Raw genomic sequence first — 22,990 nt, 5'->3', positions numbered from 1 at the left:
GGCGTCCCAAAGTGCTGGGATTACAGGTGTGATCTACCGCGCCCGGACCACCTGCACATTTAAAATTGTGAACCTCTCTGTATACTTCAGTAACTTTTCAAAGATTTCTTTGACACAAAGTTCTCAGAAATCTTAAAGCTAGCATTTCACAACAGAAAAAAAGAGCTTCTGGTTCACTGGTGAAATTTTACTAATAAAATTTAAAAACAAAAAGCTACTAACACATATCAGCTCAGAACAAAGACTAAACACTACCAGCAGATCTTTCCTTTAACTTCGTGAAGCACTGGGATTCATTCTTTCGGCAAAGAAAGGATGAACAACACTGTAACCCAAAGAAAAGGTATCACTGCAAGAAAAGACTTCTTTTTGAAAGCAGCTCTAGCAGCAAAAGATAGGAGGAAAGCAAGAAAACCACGCCAAACGTCTTGGTTAACTCTTCGGAGAAAGGACGCCAAATGAGAAGATCTAACAAGCCAGAAAGACAGATACAGGGAAATCACGCCAACTCTTTGGAGTGCAAACACCAACCCCACAATCCAACCTACCGGAAATCCTGCGGTGAATTAGAGGCCTGCCCCGCTAGTCATGAGGTGATTCAGTGATGGCTACAAACGCGCCTCATGTGTTGCCCATCACCAGCCTGGAGAAACCGCCAGGAGCAGAATCCCGGAGGCCAATAAAGACCCCAACTTTGCAAGTCAGGGGCGCGAGTGGTCTCGCCTCTCAGGTCCCCAGAGGCAACTGATTTCTGGCCTCGAGGGTGGGGTGCGGGGTCAGGGTCCTCCACAGGATACACGAGGACGTGCCCCCGAAGCTGCTCGTCCCTCCACCCCCTGGGATGCCACAGAACACCCGCCAGCGAGTTTCTTCCCCAGCGCCCAAGAGATGAGGGCTGCGGGCGGCAGCGGCAAGCGAGGAATCGAACGCATGGAACTTAAGCCCCGGCGGGGCCGGAACACACGCCCTCCCAACCCCCCACCCCGCCTCGCCCTCCGTCGCTCGCAACAAAACTTGCGACAGCCGCAGCTCGACCCAGCTGTGTACCCGCGGGTCCCGGACTCACCGCCCCCCGGCCTGGCGCGGCGCCTTCACCTCGGAAACGCTGGGTGGACTTCGCTGTAAACCGTAACTTCCCATCCAGATGGCATCCGTGCGCCGCGCCTCGGCCCGCTCCTGGCGCCACAGGTCGCCCGTCCCGCGTTCCCAAAAGCACCGCGTTCACTCAGATGCTCACGCAGCCTCGCGACCCTCACCTACCCCTCCCAATACCGCCGCTGTCTCAACCGCCGCCCAGCCCATAGCCTGAGCCAGCTGGCTCCTCAGGGTCCCGCTCGGCGCGTCAGGAGAGCCCAAGGCGCAGGCGCAGCGGGGCCTTAAAGGTACATGGCCGCCTCTGCAGCACAGCGGGTTCGCGCGGGCCAGGAAAAGGAGTAACCGAGCGGATAGACAGAGTGCAGCAGAGACCGGGAAATCCCTCTCTCCCCTCCGCCTCTCTTTTAAAGCACCAGCCCTTGACCCTACAAATCGCTGATTTCCAGGGCCACTTGAACCGCCCCTGCCAGGTTAAAGGGGCAGAAGACACACCCCCTCGGGGGCCCGGAGCGACCCCGCGCTTAGGACTGCAGGCCTGGTGCTGCAGCACCGCCCCCGAGTCTGACTTCCAGGCCCGGGCATGGGGTGCAGACGCGCAGACGTGGGAAGGCAACCCCCAGCTCCCCCGAGAAGTGGCCTTAGGTCACTCGCAAAAACAATAACCCATATGTCAGTGGGACTTGTAATGATTTTCTAATTTAAATTAATAACAGATTTTGCAGATGGGCTTCCACTGAAATAAGCCTTTGAGAAAAAGAAAAACTTTTTCAACAAGATTAGGAAATACCAAGAAATAGGAAGTAAAGCCATGCCGTCCACCCAGCTAACAACTTTGAAAACTTGAAATTTTATCTAAGGCAAATGCTTGCATAACTTTAGGTCGTGCCATTATTATTATTGTTATTATTATTATTATTATTATTTGAAACGGAGTCTTGCACTGTCGCATGCAGTGATGCAATCTCGGCTCACTGCAACCTCCGCCTCTTGGGTTCAAGTGATTCTCCTGTCTCAGCCTCCCGAGTAGCTGGGACCACAGGCCCTCGCCACCACGCTCGGCTAATTTTTGTATTTTTAGTAGAGACGGGGCTTCACCATGTTAGCCAGGCTGGTCTCGAACTCGTGACCTCAGGTGATCCACCAGGCTTACCCTCTCAAAGTGCTGGGATTACAAGCATGAGCCACCCACTGGGCAAGGCCTGCCTGGAAATAATCGTGAGAAATAAACTCACCCGTCCAAACCCAAAGAATGGACTCCAAGACCCGGAAAACAGCAGAAGTGCGACTTATTATTAATGACAGTCTTGCAAGATCGGGTGTCTGGTAGGCAGGCACACCCAGTAGGCTTACAACAAGCAATTTATCCCCTAGTGTGGAAGTGCCTCCCCCGGTTCCTCATAGGCTGAGTACTATGGGGTCACAGTATTCCCGGATGTCGCCTATTGGATCTTGGGTTGGGACTTTTAGGTTGTTGGTTTTTTTTTTAGGGTTGTCTCCCTGTATTTTGTTGCAGCCCATAATGCATTGCAATCATGGTCAGCTCGGGGGCTTTTCAAGTATTTGACTTATGACCTGGGCAGTCAGGCAAGCTGATAAGAATAGATGTAGTGAACTATTTTGCAGGCTAGTAAATGTCCATTCTAGACTAAACTCTTTGGTTTGGACAAGGCAGCTAAGGTGGGGGAGTGGGGGTGGGCGACAAGCAGGCACCAGCTATTAAAGCAGCGGCCTAGTATATTCTGTTCTTCCATAGTTTGCGGGCCCAAGCCTAACTTCCTACAATAATAATTATATACAAAAGTTTTTAAAAGGGATAAAAGAAAAGAGGGGATGTCTCAAATGAATACACTTAAGCTCCCCCATCAAGAAACAAGAAAAAAGCAAGTAAAAGAAACCTAAAGCAGGCCAGGCACGGTGGCTCACGCCAGTAATACGAGCACTTTGGGAGGCCAAGGTGGGTGGATCACCTGAGGTGAGGAGTTTGAAACGAGCCTGGCCAACAAGGCAAAACCCCGTCTCTACTAAAAATACAAAAAAATTAGCTGGGCATGGTAGCACCCGCCTGTAATCCCAGCTATTCTGGAGGCTGAGGAAGGAGAATCGCTTGAACCCGGGAGGTGGAGGTTGCAGTGAGCTGAGATCGCACCACTGCACTCCGGCCTGCGCCATGGGAATGAGACTGAATCTACAAAAAAAAAAAAAAACCTAAAGCAAATGGAAGGAAATAATACAGATAATAGCAGAAATCAATGGCATTGAAAACAGAAAAAAACAAAAGGGGAAACTAGTGAAAATAAAGCTGTCTCTTTGAAAAGATCAATAAACTTGACAAAGAAAAAAAGAAGTCAGCTTATGAACATCAGGATGAAACAGGGACTACACTCGTTACAGACTGCAGATATCAAAGGGATAATAATAAGGGAAAAACTATTTAAAATTCTGTACACACATATATTTGACAACCCAGATGAATTGGACAAATTTGTCGTAAGTATCAACTACCACAACTTACCTAAAGCAAAACAGGTCATCTGAGTAGCTCTGTAACTATGAAAATAATTGGATTCCTAATTTTAAAATTTCCAGAAAGAAAAGCTCCAGGTCCAGATGGTTTCACTGGAGAATTCTACCAAACGGTTGAAGAAAAATTAACATCAATTCTTTTTTTTTTTTTTTTTTTGAGGCGGAGTCTTGCTCTGTCTCCCAGGCTGGAGTGCAGTGGTGCAACCTTGGCTCACTGCAAGCTCCGCCCTCCGGGTTCACGCCATTCCCCTGCCTCAGCCTCCCGAGTAACTGGGACTACAGGTGCCCACCACCACGCCCGGCTGATTTTTTGTATTTTTGGTAGAGACGGGTTTTCACCGTGTTAGTCAGGATGGTCTCGATCCCCTGACTTCGTGATCAGCCCGCCTTGGCCTCCCAAAGTGCTGGGATTACAGGCGTGAGCCACCGCGCCCAGCCGAATTAACATCAATTCTGTACAATCTGTTCCAGAAAATAGAAGATGAAGGAACACCTCTCGACTATTTCTGTAAAGCTATGATTACCCCAACTCCAAAACCAGACCACAAAAATGTTTATCAGTCAATGAAGAAAAATCATTTGACAAATTCAACATCTATTCATGATAGAAATAAAGAAGGGAGGCCAGGCTCTTTGGCTCATGCCTGTAATCCCAGAACTTTGGGAGGCCAAGGTGGGTGGATCACCTGAGGTCAACAGTTCGAGACCAGCCTAGTCAACATGGCAAAACCCCATCTCCCTGTTAGGATTCTGTAATTTCTGTTTTCTCATCTGCAGTATATGGATTTGTTTGCTCCACACCATCCATTCTGCTGCTGAGCCTATCTGCTGGACTTTTTATTTTAGTTGCATTTTTCACTTCTAATACTTCCATTTGGTTCTTATTTATGTCTTGTATTTATTTGCTGAGTCTTTCAGGAATTAAGGGGTAGATCAAAACAGTTTCAGATTAAGAAAAGCTAAGGGAATCTCTGACCAGCAGTTCTGCCTTAAAAGAAAGATGTCCATAGAAAAAAGAACAAAGAAACTAATCAGAGAGAGAAAGGGATGTTATAAAATGATGAAAGGACCAATCCACCAACCCCTCCCCTGACAAAAGTCATAAATATCTATGCAAAATTTCAAGTCATAAATATCTATGCAACAACAACCTTAAATACTGAACAGATAGCTAGACTAATCCACAAATATAGCTGTACACTTCCATGTCCCCCCTGTCTCTTGTAGGACATTGAGCCAGACAGCTGACCTGTCCTCTACAAACAAGTCCATGTCCCTACCATCAATGACAACAACAAAAAGATGAGGAGATACTTTGGGTTCAAAATAACTAAAGAAATATAGCTACATTATCTTTTTAGTTTTTTTGAACCCAAAATGTCTTTTCTCCTTTTTATTGTGTGATTCGTGGTGACATGGACTGTCTGAAGGAGACAGGTTATTGTCCTGCTCAGTATTCTACATTCTGCAGTTGTCTATCTGGTGATTACCTCCTATGAAACTCAAGCTAAGCATTTTTAGCAAGAACATGGCATTGTTCGTATTCTGCACTGGCAGAGTCCCAAGTGACATGCTGTCTCCTGCCAGCAGCTCCTGACTCCTGTTCTCTACAGGATGGAAGCTGAGAGGAGTAGGGCTAAAGCCTCTCAATGCTGTTTGTCCATCTGGCTTTGGTCTTCCTAAGTATTGGTATCAAGTGGAGGCTGAAGGACTGTGGCTTCTCTAACCAAAGGAGCCTAGTGGGTTAACAATTGTCAAGAGCAGTCAGTGGTTCTGAAATACAATCCTCAGCCATGGATCCCTCCTGTGTTGTGTTGAGCTTTCAATTGCTTTGCTCTTTTAGTTCTATTCATCAAATGAAAATGCTTTTTGTGACATCCGTTCTTTCTTTTCATTGTTCCAGCAGCATTTAGTATCTGTAGGAGAGAGAGAAGGAAAGATCAAATGGGCATCTTTGTCAGGTCCTGCTGATGGCTGAGTCTAGAGGGACTGTTAAGTGGTGATAGCCCAGGGGCAAACTGAGCTCCTGCTAGGAGGATGAGCTGAAGGGTGAGCCTCAGGCTGAGTGAAGAGGCAAGTGCCATCCGCAAGTGAAAAATAAACACCCCTGAACTTCCAGTCAGCTTGAGGTGAAGGATATAGGGATCCTAGCTCTGCCCAACGAGCAGCCCCTTTCCTCCTGATCCCCAGTGTCTGGAGCAGAGTAATGGCTTTTCACACCCCTCAGTGAGGATGTTCTCAGCATCAACCATGAAAGCTCAGAAACAGAAGGCTGCAGAAGGAAAGGACCTTTTGCAGAGAAACCCACTCCCTTACAACTCCATGTCCCCGTCTCTTAGGGAAGGGTGCGCAGGGCCATGGGAAGAACCCTGGAGGTGAGATACAGGAAGGACCTCAGACCGCATCCACATCCAGTTCTGCCTTTTACAACAGAGGAGCAGTGATGCCACAGGGCTGACTTAACTAAAGCCACATGACTTGCAATGGACAACCCTGAAACTAGAACCCACGCACAAAGTCTCTTTCAATAAGTTAGAGAGAAGGGAGAGTCAATTCTCCAATCTGGAGTTCTCAACAGTCACTAGAGGTTGCTGGGTCACCTTGGCTAGGATAGGAATGAGCTTTTACAAAGAAATATGATGTCACTGCTGCTTGTTTTGTTGGTTAAAATAAAAAATGAGAAAAAGACAAAAGAAATATTATGTGTTCTTCCAAAAAGGATCAGAAGAAAAGGAAAGAGTCAAATGGAATTACAAAGGAAGGGTGGTGATTGCAACCATGGCCCGACTTATTATCCCTAATTCCCTGAAGTTGATTCCACACCTGGTTACACCTTAAGGCATTTCTAGAAACATGCTCAATATCTGATCAACAAAACTCTGAAGTAGAAAGTGAAAAGGATTAGTTTGTGTTTTATTACATTCTCCTCTCCCTGTTACATTTTTCCCAGAGTGGTTTGTTGGGAAAGATTTCTTTTTAGAATTTCATGCCAGCAGCAAGGGTAGCATAAAAAAGTATTCATATATCATCTCTTCCTGAGTTTCAGTTTTTTTATTATTATTATTTCTTTTCTTTTTTTTTTTTTTTTGAGATGGAGTCTCACTCTGTCACCCAGGCTGGAGTGTAATGGTGTGATCTCAGCTCACTGCAACCTCCGCCTTCCGGGTTCAAGTGATTCTCCTGCCTCAGCCTCCCGAGTAGCTGGGATTATAGGCACGTGCCATCATGCGTGGCTAATTTTTGTATTTTTAGTAGAGACAGTGTTTTGCCATGTTGGTCAGGCTGGTCTCGAACTCCTGACCTCAGGTGATCCACCCTCCTCAGCCTCCCAAAGTGTTGGAATTAGAAGCATGAGCCACCATGCCCGGCCAAGTTTCAGTTTTTACTTATTATTATATTCTGTCTAGTGGAGTGAGACCTACGAGTTCTCTTTGAGGATTTGGCTGAATGACAAGAATTGAGCAAAGCAGAATTTTTACATTGCAGTGCCGAACCCATTAATGGGCTGTGGAATCAGTGTGTGGAAATGTAAACTGCAGGATTTATTTTAAAATTGAAAAGAAGGCTGGGCATGATGGCTCATGCCTAAATCCCAGCTCTTTGGGAGGCAGAGGTGGATGGATCACTTGAGGCCAGAAGTTCGAGACCAGCCTTGCCAACATGGTGAAACCATGCCTCTACTAAAAAATACAAAAATTAGCCAAGTGTGGTGGCAGGCACCTGTAATCCCAGCTACCCAGAAGGCTGAGGCATGAGAATTGTTGAAGCCGCAAGACAGAGGTTGCAGTGAGCCGAGACTGCGCCACTGCATTCCAGCCTGGGTGACAGAGCGAGACTCTGTCTTAAAAATAAAATACAATAAAATAAAATTTAAAAGAAAATACTAAATCTGAATATGTGTAATATACGAGGTATTGTTTTCTGTATACTGGGTTTCAATATAATGACTATTTCTTATTTTACTTGTACTCAAAATTAAGCAAGTGTGCTTTAAGTAGAGAGACTACAGGTCTAATCCATCTATTTTCTTGTTTTTCTTTTTAATTTTTTTCTACGTTCTACAAATACTACTGTTGAGAGGTGAATACAGATCCCATCAATGTCTGATGGATATTCCGCCTTTTGTGTGGAGTAGCCACACAAGTGGTCATCTCCATGTTGAAAACCTGAGGTCAGAGTAGACCAGTGGTCCTTGTCATCTTCAGTTGTATATTAGAATATCATGGAAGTTTTTTAAAGGTACTGATGCTCACATCACACCCCAGACCATTTAAGTGAGAATCTCAAGATGTCAGTTCAAGGCATTCATCTTTATTGAAATCTCACCAGGTGCTTATTACATGGTAGCAGGATTTAGAGACAATGAATGAACCAACCTGATTTCCCATCATTTTCTTTCCTATCCTCATTTCTCTCGTGATTGCCTTCATTCTCTGTGGCTCTGTGGATTTTAGTCTTTCTTCTGACTATTTCAATTAAATCTCTCACTTGGGCTGGTCTGAGGCAAAGTCTGTCCTGTAGATAGGTTCTTGTCTATCATCTTGTGTAGACATAAAGCTGGCCCCTGGACTCACTTTTCTCAAAGTTAATTCATTAAATGCTCTCTTATTTCTCTGTCCTCAAGATTCACCTGAGTTGTGTTTTAGACTCTAACTGAGCTTGTAGAAGTAAATATGTGAATAAAAAGGACAGAGGTGAGAATGCACTTTGTGGTCTATGTAGGTTCAAAGTCCTGCCCTGCCCTCTGCATCTATCTTTGGATGAGGTCCCTTTGGAATATCATAAATGTTCTCCAGTTAATGTCAGCTAAGTGAGTCCATGAGGAGCAGACACAGTCCCTGGAAACTTCATCCACGCTGGCATAAGGTTGCCCATCTAGAGATGAAGACACACCTGACTCCAGGCTAGTAGGGAACTCTCATCTGTGACCCAGGTTCTAATTTAGTTTTTGATTTGGAGTTCTTAGTGCTCAGTTTTAACACTTCTCATTCCCATGTACAAGGTGAGGGTTACAGTTTGACTTAGTTGTGTTGCTCAAAAGCTGTCCCAAGAGAAAAATCTGTGTGTAAATGATGTATTAAAGCAATGCTCCTGGCAGAAAGGGGCAATGGAGTTTGGGATGCAGAAAGGAAAGGCAAATTACTCAAGCTGTGCAATTCCAGGCAAAGAACCCTGTGTTTAGCAGCTCACACCATGCACTTGGAGGGGGACAAGGAAGTTGGGCTCTCCTGCGGCCATGAGAGGGACTCTTAGGACAACAGCAGTGGGAACAGAGCAGAGTTCAGAGAGCAAACAGGGGATGGGGATCAGAAGGACCTGGCAGCATGGCAGCCCATGGGACACAGAGGTAATACCAGACAGAGGTGACAGCAGCTGCTGGAGAGAACAAATACAGAAGAAAAAAGCAGTGGGAGAAGGAGCTGTCATCATAGACAGAGAGGAATAAGGAGTGAGTGCAGCTAAGAGCCATAGATGTGATTACCTTCCTGCTCTAAGCTTGCAGGCCAGGGAATCTGCATGCCAGTCTCCACTTGCTGAACAGCAGTTTTCTTTTGATCATCTTCGGTTTTAGGACACTTGAGGCATGAATGTGGCCAATGACTTGATGCCCATGTATGTTGTCAGCTGAGCCTTCAATAGCATCACCTTCCAGCTGGGGAGGGTTCTTCATTCAAGGGAAGGCTCTAAACCCAGCTCTGAAAATGAAACCACACCCAACAGTGTTCACTGTCATCCATGATCTTACTGTGACTTTCTCTTCCACCCAAGAGGATCATCAGAGAAGGAAAGCGGCCTTGAATAAGAAAGTCCAACGGGTAAAGGGAAGCCAGGAAAGACATTTTGGTATTTTCTGTATTGTTGATTTTTCATGCATCACCCAGTAATGACAAGATTGCCAGGAGGAAAAGGTGATCCCAACTGACAAACATATTCAAAAAATTTAGGATTAATAAACACAAATAGTTTCCAGGTAGATAAGGCAAAGGCAAGGAAGTCAGACTGGATACAGGCTGTGTTTTGGGAGGGAGGAGATTCTAAAACTCAACATTAAATGAACATATGAGAGAAAAGAATTGGATAGACTAAACATGAGATATTGATGAAATGAGCATGCAGATATGTATATAGCATATATCTACATTTTATTAAAAATACATGCCAAATATGCATAATATATATATCCAATGACATAAATGCATATATTTATATATATAAATCTATTGGAAGAAATTATTACATAAGGATGTGGAAGATGTTGAATTAGCGTTATAATCACTAACATTATAATCTGGTCCACTGAAACTGGAAAAAATTTTAGAAAAATAAGATGAACGAGAGAGAGAAGACATGGTGAGAAACAAATGCCCTATTAGACAGCAAGGAGAAGTCACCAGGTAAAGGACAATGAAACAAAAGGCATTCACTCTGTCCTCTTGCCTGGAACCTGGTTAGTGATCCGGACTCCTGGGAAAGCCAGCAGGTAAGAGTGTTGGAGCCAGCGGGGTGAGTCCTGACTAGGGGTGCAGGAATCCATGGAGAAGCAAAAGAGACACCAGTGGGAAGAAATCAGTTTAAATACTCAAAGTTATCAGGGCACGTGTCAGGGACTACGCATCCCCCGACACTCACTGAGCGTTTTCCATGTGTCCTCTCCATGGACCCAGATGGTGCTCGTTATCTCACGTGACCCTCCCTCCTCCTGAGGACGTGGGTCTCCTTATTCCTCGGCTGGGGTCATCGATTGACAGATGAGCACCAGGCAGCCCCAGGGGCTCCAGGAGTAGATATTGAGTGGGACGGAGAGTAAGGATGAACACAACCCAGGGTTTTAAGGAAATCTGGGCAGAAGTGGATCCCTGTGAGAAGAAAACTGAGGACATGGCCGTGGGCATGAATGGAGATGATGAACTAAATGGAGTTTCATAAAAGAGACAGATTTATACCCTTTCCATGAGAAGGTTGCCCTTTCATTCTTTTATTTCAAAACGAGGGGAGAAAACAGAGCAAGAAGCTGGGTATGTCAGGAGACTGACTTGTGGGCCCAGGATTTGCACTTTTACTAATGTGCCTAATAGGTTGTTACTGAAGTGCATGACAGGGGGAAATTGACTTAAAAAGGGATGCTGAGGAAGAGAAAGAAAACTGGCAAAAGATACTTTCTAAGTAAACACAGGAAGGGAGTCTCTAGAAAGTAGAGATCCTAACAGTTACTCTTCCTCAGTTGAAACAATGCACGTGAAGTCATTTCCTGAGTGCTAACTTACCAGAAAGATAACAGAATTAGATAACATCTATTCATAGATTTATTAAGCAATTTTTACTGAATTAGCCCTTTGGAAATTATCATAATTAATGTTATCAACAATGATGGAATGTAGATATTATTTTTCAGGTCTCTCAGATGACAGGACTGAGATGTAAATGCCAACACCACAAATAACTTGGCCGAGATGAATAATGAGTAAGGGTTAAGCCCAGGACCTGAGAGCAGATTTGATCCTAAACCCCAGGCTCTTGCTCACCTCACTGGGTTGGAACATTGTGGATTTCTGCTTGACTCTGAGGGAGCACGAAGAGACCCCATTGCCTCCTCCCCTCACAGCACCATGACCAGGACACCCGGATGAGAGCTTCCTGGTCCCCTTTCCTTCCCTACCTTGGAAGGGCCATTGGTTCCCAGGATCACCGTTGGTTGTGAAGCTGCAGGTGGTGGAGGAAACATCCCGCCTGGCTAAGCCATAGCCACAGTCAAACCCTTGATCCAGTTGCAGTCACAGACAATTGGGCACCAGGGTTCTTGGCTCCAGCTGTGCCTGTGAAGTCTCCACCTCTGACAGGTGGTGGCTCAAGTCTCCACTCCAAGGCCCGTGAGGACAGGCCACCTGGGTGGGAGCTGAAAGGAGAAGGGGCTTCAGTAGGAACGCTCTCAGTTTTCCCTTTGTTAATCATGCCCAGAACACCCATCTCTGACATCTCCGCCTCTGAGGTAAGCCACCCAGTGGCCCAGGCCACAAAGACAGACATCATGTAAATGGGGTGATGTCACCTTCCTGTCTGTGCCTGGGGATGCTGAGATGGAAGGTACCCAGGCTGGATGACCCTGAAGTGAAAAACCCCCACTTCAGCCCAGAGGGCTTTGGATTGGCTAACAAGGCCATGCCAAATATTCTGTTATTATTAATCTCCATCCTGCTGCCTAGAAAGAATGTTCTGGAGAACCTTCAGAGCATAGGAAATGCTATTTTTCTCCACACACAGGAGTATAAGAACAGGGGAGGACTTTGAGCCTCCAGGCTTTGGGAAGGAACCATAGAAAAGGGTTTTGGGACACTGTAGACCAGCAGTCTCCAAACTTTTTTGCCTCGGGGACTGGTTTCGTGGAAGACAATTTTTCCTTGGACCAGGGGTGGGGGACGTGAAAAGAGGGAAGGATCATTTCGGAATGAAACTGTTCCACCTCAGATCATCAGGCATTAATTAGATTCTCGTAGGGAGCGCGCAACCTAGATCCCGTTCATGCACAGTTCACAATAGGGTTTGTGCTTCTATGAGAATCTAATGCCACCGCTGATCTGACAGGAGGCGGGGCTCAGGCTGGAATGCTCGCTTGCGGGCCACTCATATCCTGCTGTGCGGCCTGGTGCCTAACAGGCCCAGGACAGGTAGCTGACCACAGCCCCGGGGGCTTGGGTCCCCCTGCAAGAAACCAAATACTACATGAGGCGAACTTTTAAGAGTTCTGGAACATTTTGAATTTCCGTTGCCTATAATGGTTTTACCACCAACCCACACATATACATCTTGTTGCCACATAGTGGGTTTCCGCAGCCATACGCAATGTTGTAAAGGGACCAGTCCCTTCACGGACACTTAGGGGCCACAGGTATTACAGATCAGTATGTGTGGTTCTGTAGGGAGGCAACACCGAGCACAATCCTCATCTTACCCACTCCTCCAGTGGGGTCCGGGCAGCACCCCCTCATAAAAATTATTGCTGTTTCCACAGGAAGAGGAAATCACATTCTCAGAAAGTGGACAAAATGCATTATGATTTGCAGTGGTTTTCGTTTTCTTTTTTTTCTTTCTTTTTTTTTTTTTTTCCCTGAGACAGACTCTCGCTCCGTCTCCCAGGCTGGAGTGCAGTGGCGCCATCTCGGCTCACTGCAACGCGATTCTCCTGCCTCAGCCTCCCAAGTAGCTGGGATTACACGGAGGCACCGCCACCCCCGGTTAATTTTTGTATTTTTTTAGTAGAGACAGGGTTTTACTATGTTGATCAGGGTGGTCTCCAACTCCTGACCTCAGGTAATCTGCCCACCTTGGACTCCCGAAGTGCTGGGATTACAAGCGTGAGCCACCGCGCCCGGTTCTTTTTTGAATGTTTGGAAGAGTTGAGCTGTGAGGTCATTTGGTCCTGGGCTTCTCTTTGTTGGGAGGTTCTTCAGTCCTTTTATTTGTTATTGGTCGTTCAGGCTTTCGGTTTCTTCTTGATTCAATCCTGGTAGGTTGTGTGTTTCTAAGAATTTATCCATTTACTCTAGGTTATCCAATTTGTTGGTATAGAGCTGTTAATAACAGTTTCTTTTTTCTTTTTTTTTTTTTTTTTGAGACGGAGTCTCGCTCTGTCGCCCAGGCTGGAGTGCAGTGGCACGATCTCGGCTCACTGCAAGCTCCGCCTCCCGGGTTCATGTCATTCTCCTGCCTCAGCCTCTCGAGTAGCTGGGACTACACGCTACTGGGTAGCTAGCTGGGTAGCAGGCACCCGCCACCACGCCCGGCTAATTTTTTTGTATTTTTAGTAGAGACGGGGTTTCACCGTGTTAGCCAGGATGGTCTCGATCTCGTGACCTCGTGATCCGCCCGCCTTGGCCTCCCAAAGTGCTGGGATTGCAGACGTAGGAGCCACTGCGCCCGGCCTAATAATAGTTTCTTATGATACTTTTTACTTGTGAGGCTTCTGTTGTAATGCCTCCACTTTCATTTCGGATGTTATTTATTTGAGTCTTCTCTATTTTTTTCTTAGTTAGTTTAGCCAAGTGTTTGTTAATTTTACTTTTTCCAGAAAAACAACTCGGGTGCGAGAGGCCTACGTTGCATCACCACTGGAGGCCAGTAGTTCCCAATCAGCCTGGAAAGAATAGTAAGACGTTGTCTCTCCTAAAAAGAGAAAAAGAAAGAGAAAGGAAAAGGAAAAAAACAAAACAAAACAAAACAAAAAACCAACAACTCACTTTTATTATTTTTCTGTAGTATTTCTGTTCTTCAGTTGATTTACTTCTGCATTGATTTTTGTTTCCTTTTTTCAGTGAACTTTGGATTTATTTTGTTGTTTTTTTCCTGGTTTCTTGAGGTGTAATGTTTATTTGAAGTCTTTCTAATTTTTTTTTTTTTTTTTTTTTTTTTTTTTTTTTTTTTTTGAGACGGAGTCTCGCTGTCGCCCAGGCTGGAGTGCAGTGGCGCAATCTCGGCTCACTGCAGGCTCCGCCCCCTGGGGTTCACGCCATTCTCCTGCCTCAGCCTCCCGAGTAGCTGGGACTACAGGCGCCCGCCACCTCGCCCGGCTTTCACCGTGTTAGCCAGGATGGTCTCGATCTCCTGACCTCGTGATCCGCCCGCCTCGGCCTCCCAAAGTGCTGGGATTACAGGCGTGAGCCACCGCGCCCGGCCGAAGTCTTTCTAATTTTTTAATGTATGCATTTATGGTTATAAACTTGACTCTTAAGAGCTGTTTTTGCTGTTTCCAAAGATTTTGTTATGTTTGTTTTCACTTTTGTTGGCCTCAATATATTTTCAAATTTCCCTTTTGATTTGTTCTTTGATCAATCAGTTGTTCAAAGGCAAGTTGTTTAATTTCCATGTATTTTTTAATTTTCCAGTTTTCCTTATGTAGTTAATTTTTAGTTTCATACCGTTGTGGTCAGAAAAGATACTCGATGGGATTGGAATCATTGTTAATTTGTCTAAGATGTACTCTTCATTATTTTAATTGATGTATAATTGTTGCACACATTTTGGGGATACACATGATATTTTGATAAACATACACAATTTATAATGATCGAATCAGTGTAAGTAGTATATCTGTCACCTCAAAACTTTATCTTTTCTTTATGTTAGGAATATCCCAATTCCTCTCTTCTAGTTATTTTAAAATATACAAGAAGTTATTTTGAGTTATAGTCTCCCTAATATACTATCAAATACTAGAACTTATTCCTTCTATTTAACTATATTTTATATGCATTAACCAATATCTTTTCTTCCTTCTCCCCTATCTCCTTCCCATCCTCTTGTAACCACTAATTTTAATATGTGATATGACACATGAATTCAGTTTTTTCTACTTGTTTATTTTTATATGGTTACAAATATGTCACATCCATTGCTTAAAAAGAAAATCTTCAATCGTTTGTTGAAATATTATGCATTTTTAAATACATTGCTTTTTCAAGATTGTCAAAAATCTGTTCTCAATATATGTGTTCATTTATATTTGGACTCTATTTTCTTTTGATCCATTTAATTGATCACATACCAAAGCTCTGTTGTGGCCATTACAACTCTGTGATTGTTCTTTAAATCAGGTGGAGCTAGCCCTCCAATTTTGCACTTCGTTATACAGGCATTTTGGTTATGCTAGTTCATGTTAATTTTAGAATCAGCTGCCATTTTCTACCAACGATGCATGCTGAAATTTTGAGTCGGATTGCATTGAATTCATAGATCAAATTAGGGGAAATGAACATCTCAACAATATTCTTACACATGAGCAAACAATATCTTTCCAGTTATTAGGCCTGCACTATGTTCTCCGTGAAATGTGCTCTAATTTTCAGTCATATTCACATTTATGGATTTTATACACTTGACATTATTGTAAATGGTATTCCTTTTACATTTAAATTCTGCCGTGCAATTGCATAAACACAATTTATTTTTGCATATTGATCTTATATCCTGCTAGAAACAAATGCTTTTTGGATTCAGGTTTGATCGGCCAGTGGCAATATCTTTGGAAACTTGCGTATTTACCAGGCATGAAGAATCTTTCTCATTTCAATTGGAGCTTTATCACCAGCCCAAAGGAGAGGAATGTCCTAACGCATATCAAGTTCTGAGGTTGGGAAGAGTTTGTCCTTTGTAGACAAATGCATGTGAAATGTTCTGTATGTTCACCAATAAGTTTTCCTTAAGATTACTCATGCAGTTATAAGGCTGCCCATCTGCACTTGTGTTTAGCTGCAATACTATAGTTGTAAAATTTAGAAGCCAATGTTCTCCCTTAGTTTAAAATTTAATATTCAAGAATCTATTCCAACATTATGTAGTGCCAAAAACTTTGGGATGATATGCAATGATATGTCCAGCAAGTATGAGTTTGTACCTGATCCTTATTAGTCTTCCTTCTGATGTGATCTATTATAAAATGAGACCTTTAAGAGCTTTAAAATAATTAATAATGGCATGCTGAGGAGGTTAGTTTGTGGGATATTCAGTAGCCGTAGGAAACAGTAGTTCCTACTCTGTATCTCAAGTGGGAGTCCACTCTTCAGTATGTCAGCTTCAAGACCCTGATCTGCAGTGGAATTTGCAGCCCCCTGCTGTGTCAGCTTCATTACTTCAAGGGAGGGTGAATGCCTTCAGTTCTTTAGGTCACAATTGACACATGTAGCACATTTTGGTACCTCTTCAGTTACTGACCTTTATGCCCACTCATGTCAGGCTTGCTCACCTGAGTGATTCACAAGATCACATTCCCAATGCATCAGATCACAGTGTCACAAAAAAAAAAAAAGCATTTATTTTTCGTTATGTATCTCTCCTGAATTTCAACCTTGATAGGCTAACATGGCTCATGAACAGCTTTAAATTTGGTTTCTCAAACGTCTCTCTAATGGTTTACAAAAGTCCAGTTACTCAAATGAATTTATCTTACAGTCCGGTTTTCTATTGTTCCATGCTGTGCCTCAGTGACATAAACCAAGAGTCAGTATATAAAAAAGATTTATTCCCACTGGTTTATAACCAACCAATAACTAGTATGCCTGTTATATATAGTTCTGTGCATTGGGTTGCCAGTCTCCTTCCTTCTTTTGCCTGATTTTTGTTAGAAGTGGAGATGATGTAATGTTATGGGTCACTTCTATTAGTGTCCCTGGACTACAGTTCTACCATCTATTTTTTAAGCTATTTTACCTCGTTATTATAAGATCTGCATATTTGTGAGCATCATTTATGTTATTAATAGTTAACATCTGGGGGGGTGGCGGAGGGATAGCATTAGGAAATATACCTAATGTTAAATGATGAGTTAATGGGTGCAGCACACCAACATGGCACAGGTATACATATGTAACAAACCTGCACGTTGTGCACATGTACCCTAAAACTTAAAGTATAATAATAAAAAAAAAAAGTTAACATCTATGGTAGTCACTTCTTTGGTTATGTCAGAGACTAAAATCTGAAAATCAGAAATTCATTCTTTATTTCAGGTGTGTGCATGCTGTTGTGTTGATCCCTCTCCCCTCCCAGAAAAGTCATTGTAGGCCCAAGTCGATGAAGGGACAGACTGTGAAAGAAAGATGCAGAGCATGGACTAAGTATGCAGTGCCTACTGAATCAAAAACTTTGCTGAAGTTGCTTTTCTGCGATTGTCTAACATTCCTCTGAGTCACCTTATCTGCTGCTTAAAAGCCCCAAAGCATTTTCTTAACTGTCTTGTGGCCATTGTTATAAACTCTGCTCTGCTCTTCCTGTGTCAACTACCACACAGTCTGTTTCATTGCATGGCCCTAAAGGCAGAGCCATTTTTCCAACTTTAAGTGCACTAAGGGTATCCTGTTTCTACAAAACCAGTGGATGTTAGTGGTTCTCTTAGGGATTTTTTTTTCTTTTTTGTCATATAAGGCCATAATTGGAGTAATGTGAAAAATATTTTTTTCCTCCAGAAGTTATTAGATGCTGCTATATCCAATATTTGTTCTATCAGTACACTATAATGTATCCCAGCTATGCATTTTATATTTCCTAAAACTTCACTTCTGAGAAGGCCCTTCATGTGTTTTTAAAAATTCATGGCCCACCCAGCAGCATTACTAAGTCTTTTGGAGTCTAGCCTCATGGTCTTTCTGTTGATTTTCCTGCTGTCAACATGTAATCTGTGAAATGAAACAAAGGGAGGGGATCCAGGCCAAGACTTGGTGACATTCACTTATGACAGTCAGTAGTCAGACACTATGTGCAGAGATCCTCCAGATCCTGTTTGACCAGCATCTTTGGGAGGTTAAGAGCCCAGCCCTGTCAGAACCACTATTCATTATCATCGACCCTTTCACCAGAATGCACCTGTGGTTGTCGGCTACTGATTTTCTCACCTGCAGGCAACTCAGGCTGAGCTGAGAGCAGAAATCTTAAGCTCTTGTCACTAAGGACCCTTCTGTGCTTCCTCTGTATCACCCGCCGTAACTAGCATAATGCTTTACCCACAGGGGCTCAAGAGATGCATTTGTTGAGCTCAACAAATTGAGAATCCAAGTTGTCTTGATAAGCAGAGATGTTATGGTGTAGAGAATTGGATAGGGTAAGCAGAGGAACAAAACAGGTTGTCATTTTTTTGTTGTTGTTGTTGTTTCTAAGAGTACAAAAATTGTGACTGGCAACTGCTGGGGAATCCTAAGGCAGGACTTTAGTCCCTAACCCCCCTACATTCTCACTACATTCATGGAAGCTGCTTTACTCCTTTCCACCTTAGGTATTTCATCTATAATTAGAGGATAAAACACACAACTTCTAAATGCTAGTACTATGACTGATATAGAATTTATTTTGGACATGGGTGAATCTTGGAGTCTCCAAAGCATTTAAATTACCAGACAGAGGCTGGGAGTGGTGGCTCATGCCTGTAATCCCAGCACTTTGGGAGGCCGAGGTGGGTGGATCACCTGAAGTCAGGAGTTCAAAACCAGCCTGGCCGACATGGTGAAAACCCATCTCTACTAAAAATATAGGAAATTAGCCGGGCGTGGTGGTGCACACCTGTAATCCCAGCTACTCAGGAGGCTGAGGCAGGAGAATCGCTTGAACCCGGAGGCAGAGGTTGCAGTGAGCCGAGATCATGCCATTGAACTCCAGCCTGGGTAAAAAGAGCGAAACTCCATCACAAAAAAACAAAACAACAACAACAACAACAAAAACATATATATATATATATTACCAGACAGAAGATAGATAATCTGTGATTACTATGTCAAGGACAATTTTAGAATACTTGTTAAATTCACCCCTTTCTTTTCACAGCTGGCCAGGACATAGTCAGTAGCTACTGATACCTTGAATACCTTGGCTGTGTTAACTGTTTTGACCCATCATGGAGCCAAGATGTTGGTTGTACCTTGAGATGCTGATCTGGCTGAAGTCCAGGGTCACGGGCCCAGGATAGGTCATTCAGCTATTTGAAAAAAACAGAAGAGAGACCAGGCCATCCACTGAGGTCATCTCCATGCAGCATGGGCCACTGGTTCCAGTGAACCCACCATCACCATACTTCTCAGGAATCGCTGGTCACTAGACTGAGAGTTCTGTCAAAGCTGAGATCATATCTTGCTAATCTCTGTGTTCATGGTTCCCAGCTCAGGGTCTAGCACTGAGGGAGTTCTCAGGAGAGTGTTCATCAATTATTGAATAAAAGCGATTGCAAACCTCCTCTCACCTGCATTCCTGTCCCAAATATCCTGTCAGGGATGCTGAGATTTCTCCCAGGATGCAGCAAATCCCTTTCCTTAGACTGGCCCTTGCCTTACACCATTCATGCCCCAGGATCCCTCTCTGTGGGACATTGGAGGAAAATGAGTCTGTTCTGAAGAAGTCCTCTTATGGTTCCCCCTGTCATTAGGAGCAATGTCTTCACCTAAACTCCCACTCTATGGGTTGCCACAGCACCCCAATGTGGGGGAACTTTCATATTTTCTTAAAAAGCTATATTTCTGTTCTTTCTCTCATGGGCTTGAGTTCCTTTGGGGAGACATTAATATCTGAATCCCAAGTGTTTAACACAGCGTAAAGAAAATTAAACACCAATAAATATTTATGAGCTATCATTTGGAAACCTCCTTCAACTGTAAGTACAGAAGAATATTATAAGTATCACTGCTTTGTATACTAGCAAGGGACACTTACTCTAGCACCTGACCTAGGGCAGAGCTTTTTAACATAAGAATGGATGTCTCCAACCCTTCTCCCAGCATGGTTATTCCCTCTAACCCACACTGACCTGAAGAGCATCCACTGCTACGGCAGCCCCAAGGTCAAGCCTCCTGGGTCTGGGGCGGGGCTCATGGTCACATCTTCCCCCTCTTGGAGTTGCTGCTGCCCCTCACTATAAACCAGATGTCATCCAGCCTGTGGCTCTCCCTGGCCAGGGGCAGGAGACTCCTGTGGAGTAAATTTCTCTCTCAGTCCCCACTGCTCAGCTCGCACTGCTCCTTGAGAGTTTGGATGATGACAGGCATTGCCCATTTCCCCTGAGGCTTCTATCCCAACTTGTCCTTATTCCCCCCTTCTTTGGTTTTCATTTACCAATGGCTTGTCCTTTGTGAGTTGTTCTCATCCCCTAAACCTGCTGACTTTCTTTCTTTTATCTGTTCCCTCAGTTCTGGGCTTCCAGTGTGTGGACTCAGCTCAGGCTCCTGCAGGAGACACACAGAGTCAGGTCTCAGCTGCAGGTCCTGGGTGGCATTAAAAACCATCTCAGCAGAGTTTCACCATGTCTGTCAGGCTTGGCCGGTTGTGGTGGTTCACGTCTGTGATCCCTGCACTTTGGGAGGCTGATGCAGGTGGATCGCCTGAGATGGGGAGTTCAAGACCAGCCTGGCCAACATGGTGAGACCCCATCTCAACTGAAAATGCAAAGGATTGGCTGGGCGTGGTGGCGTGCGCCTGTAGTCCCAGCTACTCGGGAGGTTGAGATAGGAGAGTTGCTTGAACCCGGGAGGCGGAGGTTGCGGTGGGCCGGGATTGTGCCACTGCACTCCAGCCTGGGCAACGAGAACAAAACTCTGTCTCCACCAAGATGACATTTTCCACCCTGTGTCCTGTTCCCCAATAAAAACAAATTCACAAATTCACAAAAAAACTAAACTAAACTAAAACTGTCTCAAAAAAAAAAAAAAAAAAAAACCCCACCATGTTGGCCAGGCTGGCCTCCAACTCCTGTCCTCAAGGGATCCTGTAATCTCCCCATTTTGGGAGGCCGAGGCGGGCAGATCACTTGGGGCCAGGGGTTTGAGACCAGATTGGGCGACATGGCAAAGCCCCATCTCTACAAAACATATAAGAATCAGCCAGGCGTGGTGGCATGCACTGCCTGTGGTCCTGGCTACTTGGGAGGCTGAGGCTGGAGGATAGCTTGGGCCCGGAAGCTTGAGGTTGCAGTGAGCAGAGATCATACCATTGTACTCCAGCCTGGGTGACAGAGCAAGACTTTGTCTTTAAAAAAAAAAATAGAGGCTGGGCACAGTGGCTGACGCCTGTAATCCCAGCACTTTGGGAGGCCGAGGCGGGCGGATCACGAGGTCATGAGATCGAGACCATCCTGGCTAACATGGTGAAACCCCGTCTCCACTAAAAATACAAAAAATTAGCCGGGCGAGGTGGCGGGCGCCTGTAGTCCCAGCTGCTCGGGAGGCTGAGGCAAGAGAATGGCGTGAACCCGGAAAGCGGAGCTTGCAGTGAGCTAAGATCGCGCCACTGCACTCCAGCCTGGGCGACGGAGTGAGACTCTGTCTCAAAACAAAAAAAAAAAAAAAAAAAAAAAAAAAAAAAAAAAAAATTGACTTGAAGGAGTCAGGCCGGAAGGCCAAATAGGAGATGAATGGGGATAGCGGCTTGAATAAGGGCAGTGGCAAGGAAAATGGGCTAGGGGTTAGGGAAGGGGGCCGACTGGCTGTGCACCCAAATGCTAAAAAGGGTCCAGAAAGGAATGTGTTCAGCTATTTTTCAAGGACTTCTAAATTAAACTCTCTTAAATGATGTTTATATTAAGGCTGGTGGTGGAGTCTTTCAGAGGCAGTGTTGGTGCTAGAAGAGCTCTTGAGGATCATACAGCCTCCCCCCTCAATTTCACAGTGAAAGAAAACCTCAGAGAAGCAAAGCAACTTGCTCAAGGTCACACAGCATTTCAGTGGTAGAACATGACTCGTGGTTCTTAGATAGCATTACCCAGCCTCCACTGAGGCTAATGGCTGTAGGCGCTATGCCAACATGACTAGATCTAAGGCAACCCAAGCAATATTTTAAGGGACTGAACGCAGATTCCCTCTCTTCCCCTTCGCCACCCCTTCCTCCACGCGCGACTCCAGTGATCAATGAATAATTGTGGAAACAGTTCCTTTGTGCAGAACACTTCGTTAAAAGAGGTGCAGAGATACACGTCTGTGGTAGGATTCCTTATCCTGAGATCTGAGAGCACCTCGATGCTTCCCCAACCTGCTAGGTGAGGGTGGAAAGGGCATTCCTGAGGCAGCCGGTGCCCCTCCTCTGCCCCCCAACTCCCACGTGGTTTCTCCAGCCAAGTTCTCACGGAGTGGCCCCTCCCTCAGCGGCTCCACTGTTGCCATAGTAATTGGGTGGGTGGACAGCCCGTCCTATCTAGAGGCCACCCAGCCCTCGCGTGGGGAGTTACCATAACAACCCCCTAGTAATAGAGGGGGTTGGGTATCGCCCCCTTCCCCCGCAAATGGAAAGGTGGGTGGCTTGATTGGCAACTGGGCACAGGAAAGAAGGAGGGAAAGGGAAGGAAAAAAATAAATAAATAAAAACCTTCTCAGTTCCTCAGAGACTCAGAGAAAACACAGTAGGAAGGGACCTCAGAGAGGAACAATAAGCCCCTACCTCACTGAGGAGGAAAGTGAAGCCAAGAAAGACTAAGACTCTCCCAGGCTCCCTCACCACATGGTGGCAGCAGATCGACCACACAAGCCTTGGCCTCAGCCTCCAGGTCCAAAGCACCTAACTCACCCACCAGGAACTCACTGCTGCGTTTCAGAAAACTTTGGATCAAAAACAGCAATTTCCACTGTGAAAACAAATAAAGTAAAAGGGCTTTTCCTTGGACAAACCTTTTATCACGGTTCTGTAGTCCTAGTATTTCTACTCAGTCAGTTGTCATTCGCTGGCTGGTAGATTCAGGCAGGGAGCACATAAAGATTAAGTAATGCTTAACACAAGCCTGCTCTCCCAGCCTGGGATCTCAGCTCCTCCCTTCTTCAGGGAGTTTCCTCTGCTCTAACTGCTGGAGAGTCTCAGCCCTCATGTGGGTCATTTCTCCATGGTGATACCTATTATTTTCTTCCTCTCTTGGAGATAAGAGAGG

The 22,990-nt window shown here is 44.8% G+C and overlaps 1 protein-coding gene and 1 long non-coding RNA gene across 4 annotated transcripts in view, besides 4 other annotated features; both read right to left on the bottom strand.

Moving 5' to 3' along the window:
- NBPF8 (NBPF member 8) overlaps window positions 1-1,344 on the bottom strand; it is a 54,650-nt gene extending 53,306 nt beyond the window's left edge. Inside the window, exons 1-2 of one of the 3 annotated variants that reach the window (NR_102404.3) lie at window positions 1,067-1,344; window positions 256-325 (exon numbers count right to left, since the gene is read on the bottom strand). The gene's annotated coding sequence lies outside the window, so the exon portion shown is untranslated. The remainder of the gene's footprint in view (window positions 1-255; window positions 326-1,066) is intronic. The other 2 variants (NR_102405.3, NM_001037501.5) reach the window with 2 other exon arrangements.
- Window positions 256-1,177: an enhancer, noted in NCBI's record as "H3K27ac-H3K4me1 hESC enhancer chr1:144593855-144594776 (GRCh37/hg19 assembly coordinates)". NCBI's record gives its function as "activates a minimal SCP1, AML or CMV promoter by ChIP-STARR-seq in primed H9 embryonic stem cells {active_cell/tissue: H9 hESC(primed)}" and the evidence as "EXISTENCE:reporter gene assay evidence [ECO:0000049][PMID:30033119]".
- Window positions 1,178-2,101: an enhancer, noted in NCBI's record as "H3K27ac-H3K4me1 hESC enhancer chr1:144592931-144593854 (GRCh37/hg19 assembly coordinates)". NCBI's record gives its function as "activates a minimal SCP1, AML or CMV promoter by ChIP-STARR-seq in naive and primed H9 embryonic stem cells {active_cell/tissue: H9 hESC(naive and primed)}" and the evidence as "EXISTENCE:reporter gene assay evidence [ECO:0000049][PMID:30033119]".
- On the bottom strand, window positions 5,015-22,826 carry LOC101929788 (uncharacterized). The gene is made up of 6 exons (XR_254376.2): window positions 22,737-22,826; window positions 19,892-20,052; window positions 19,013-19,069; window positions 11,276-11,512; window positions 9,101-9,314; window positions 5,015-5,534 (listed from the first exon to the last, which is right to left on the bottom strand). It is a non-coding gene; the product is annotated as an uncharacterized LOC101929788 (long non-coding RNA).
- Window positions 11,307-11,808: an enhancer, noted in NCBI's record as "H3K27ac-H3K4me1 hESC enhancer chr1:144583221-144583722 (GRCh37/hg19 assembly coordinates)". NCBI's record gives its function as "activates a minimal SCP1, AML or CMV promoter by ChIP-STARR-seq in primed H9 embryonic stem cells {active_cell/tissue: H9 hESC(primed)}" and the evidence as "EXISTENCE:reporter gene assay evidence [ECO:0000049][PMID:30033119]".
- Window positions 11,809-12,309: an enhancer, noted in NCBI's record as "H3K4me1 hESC enhancer chr1:144582720-144583220 (GRCh37/hg19 assembly coordinates)". NCBI's record gives its function as "activates a minimal SCP1, AML or CMV promoter by ChIP-STARR-seq in primed H9 embryonic stem cells {active_cell/tissue: H9 hESC(primed)}" and the evidence as "EXISTENCE:reporter gene assay evidence [ECO:0000049][PMID:30033119]".
- Window positions 22,827-22,990: the final 164 nt, after the last annotated feature.

Source organism: Homo sapiens, chromosome 1, assembly GCF_000001405.40.
Source record: "Homo sapiens chromosome 1, GRCh38.p14 Primary Assembly".
NCBI lineage: Eukaryota > Metazoa > Chordata > Mammalia > Primates > Hominidae > Homo > Homo sapiens.
The sequence above is the reverse complement of the archived record's forward strand: the minus strand, read 5'-3'. Positions and strand labels throughout refer to the sequence as shown.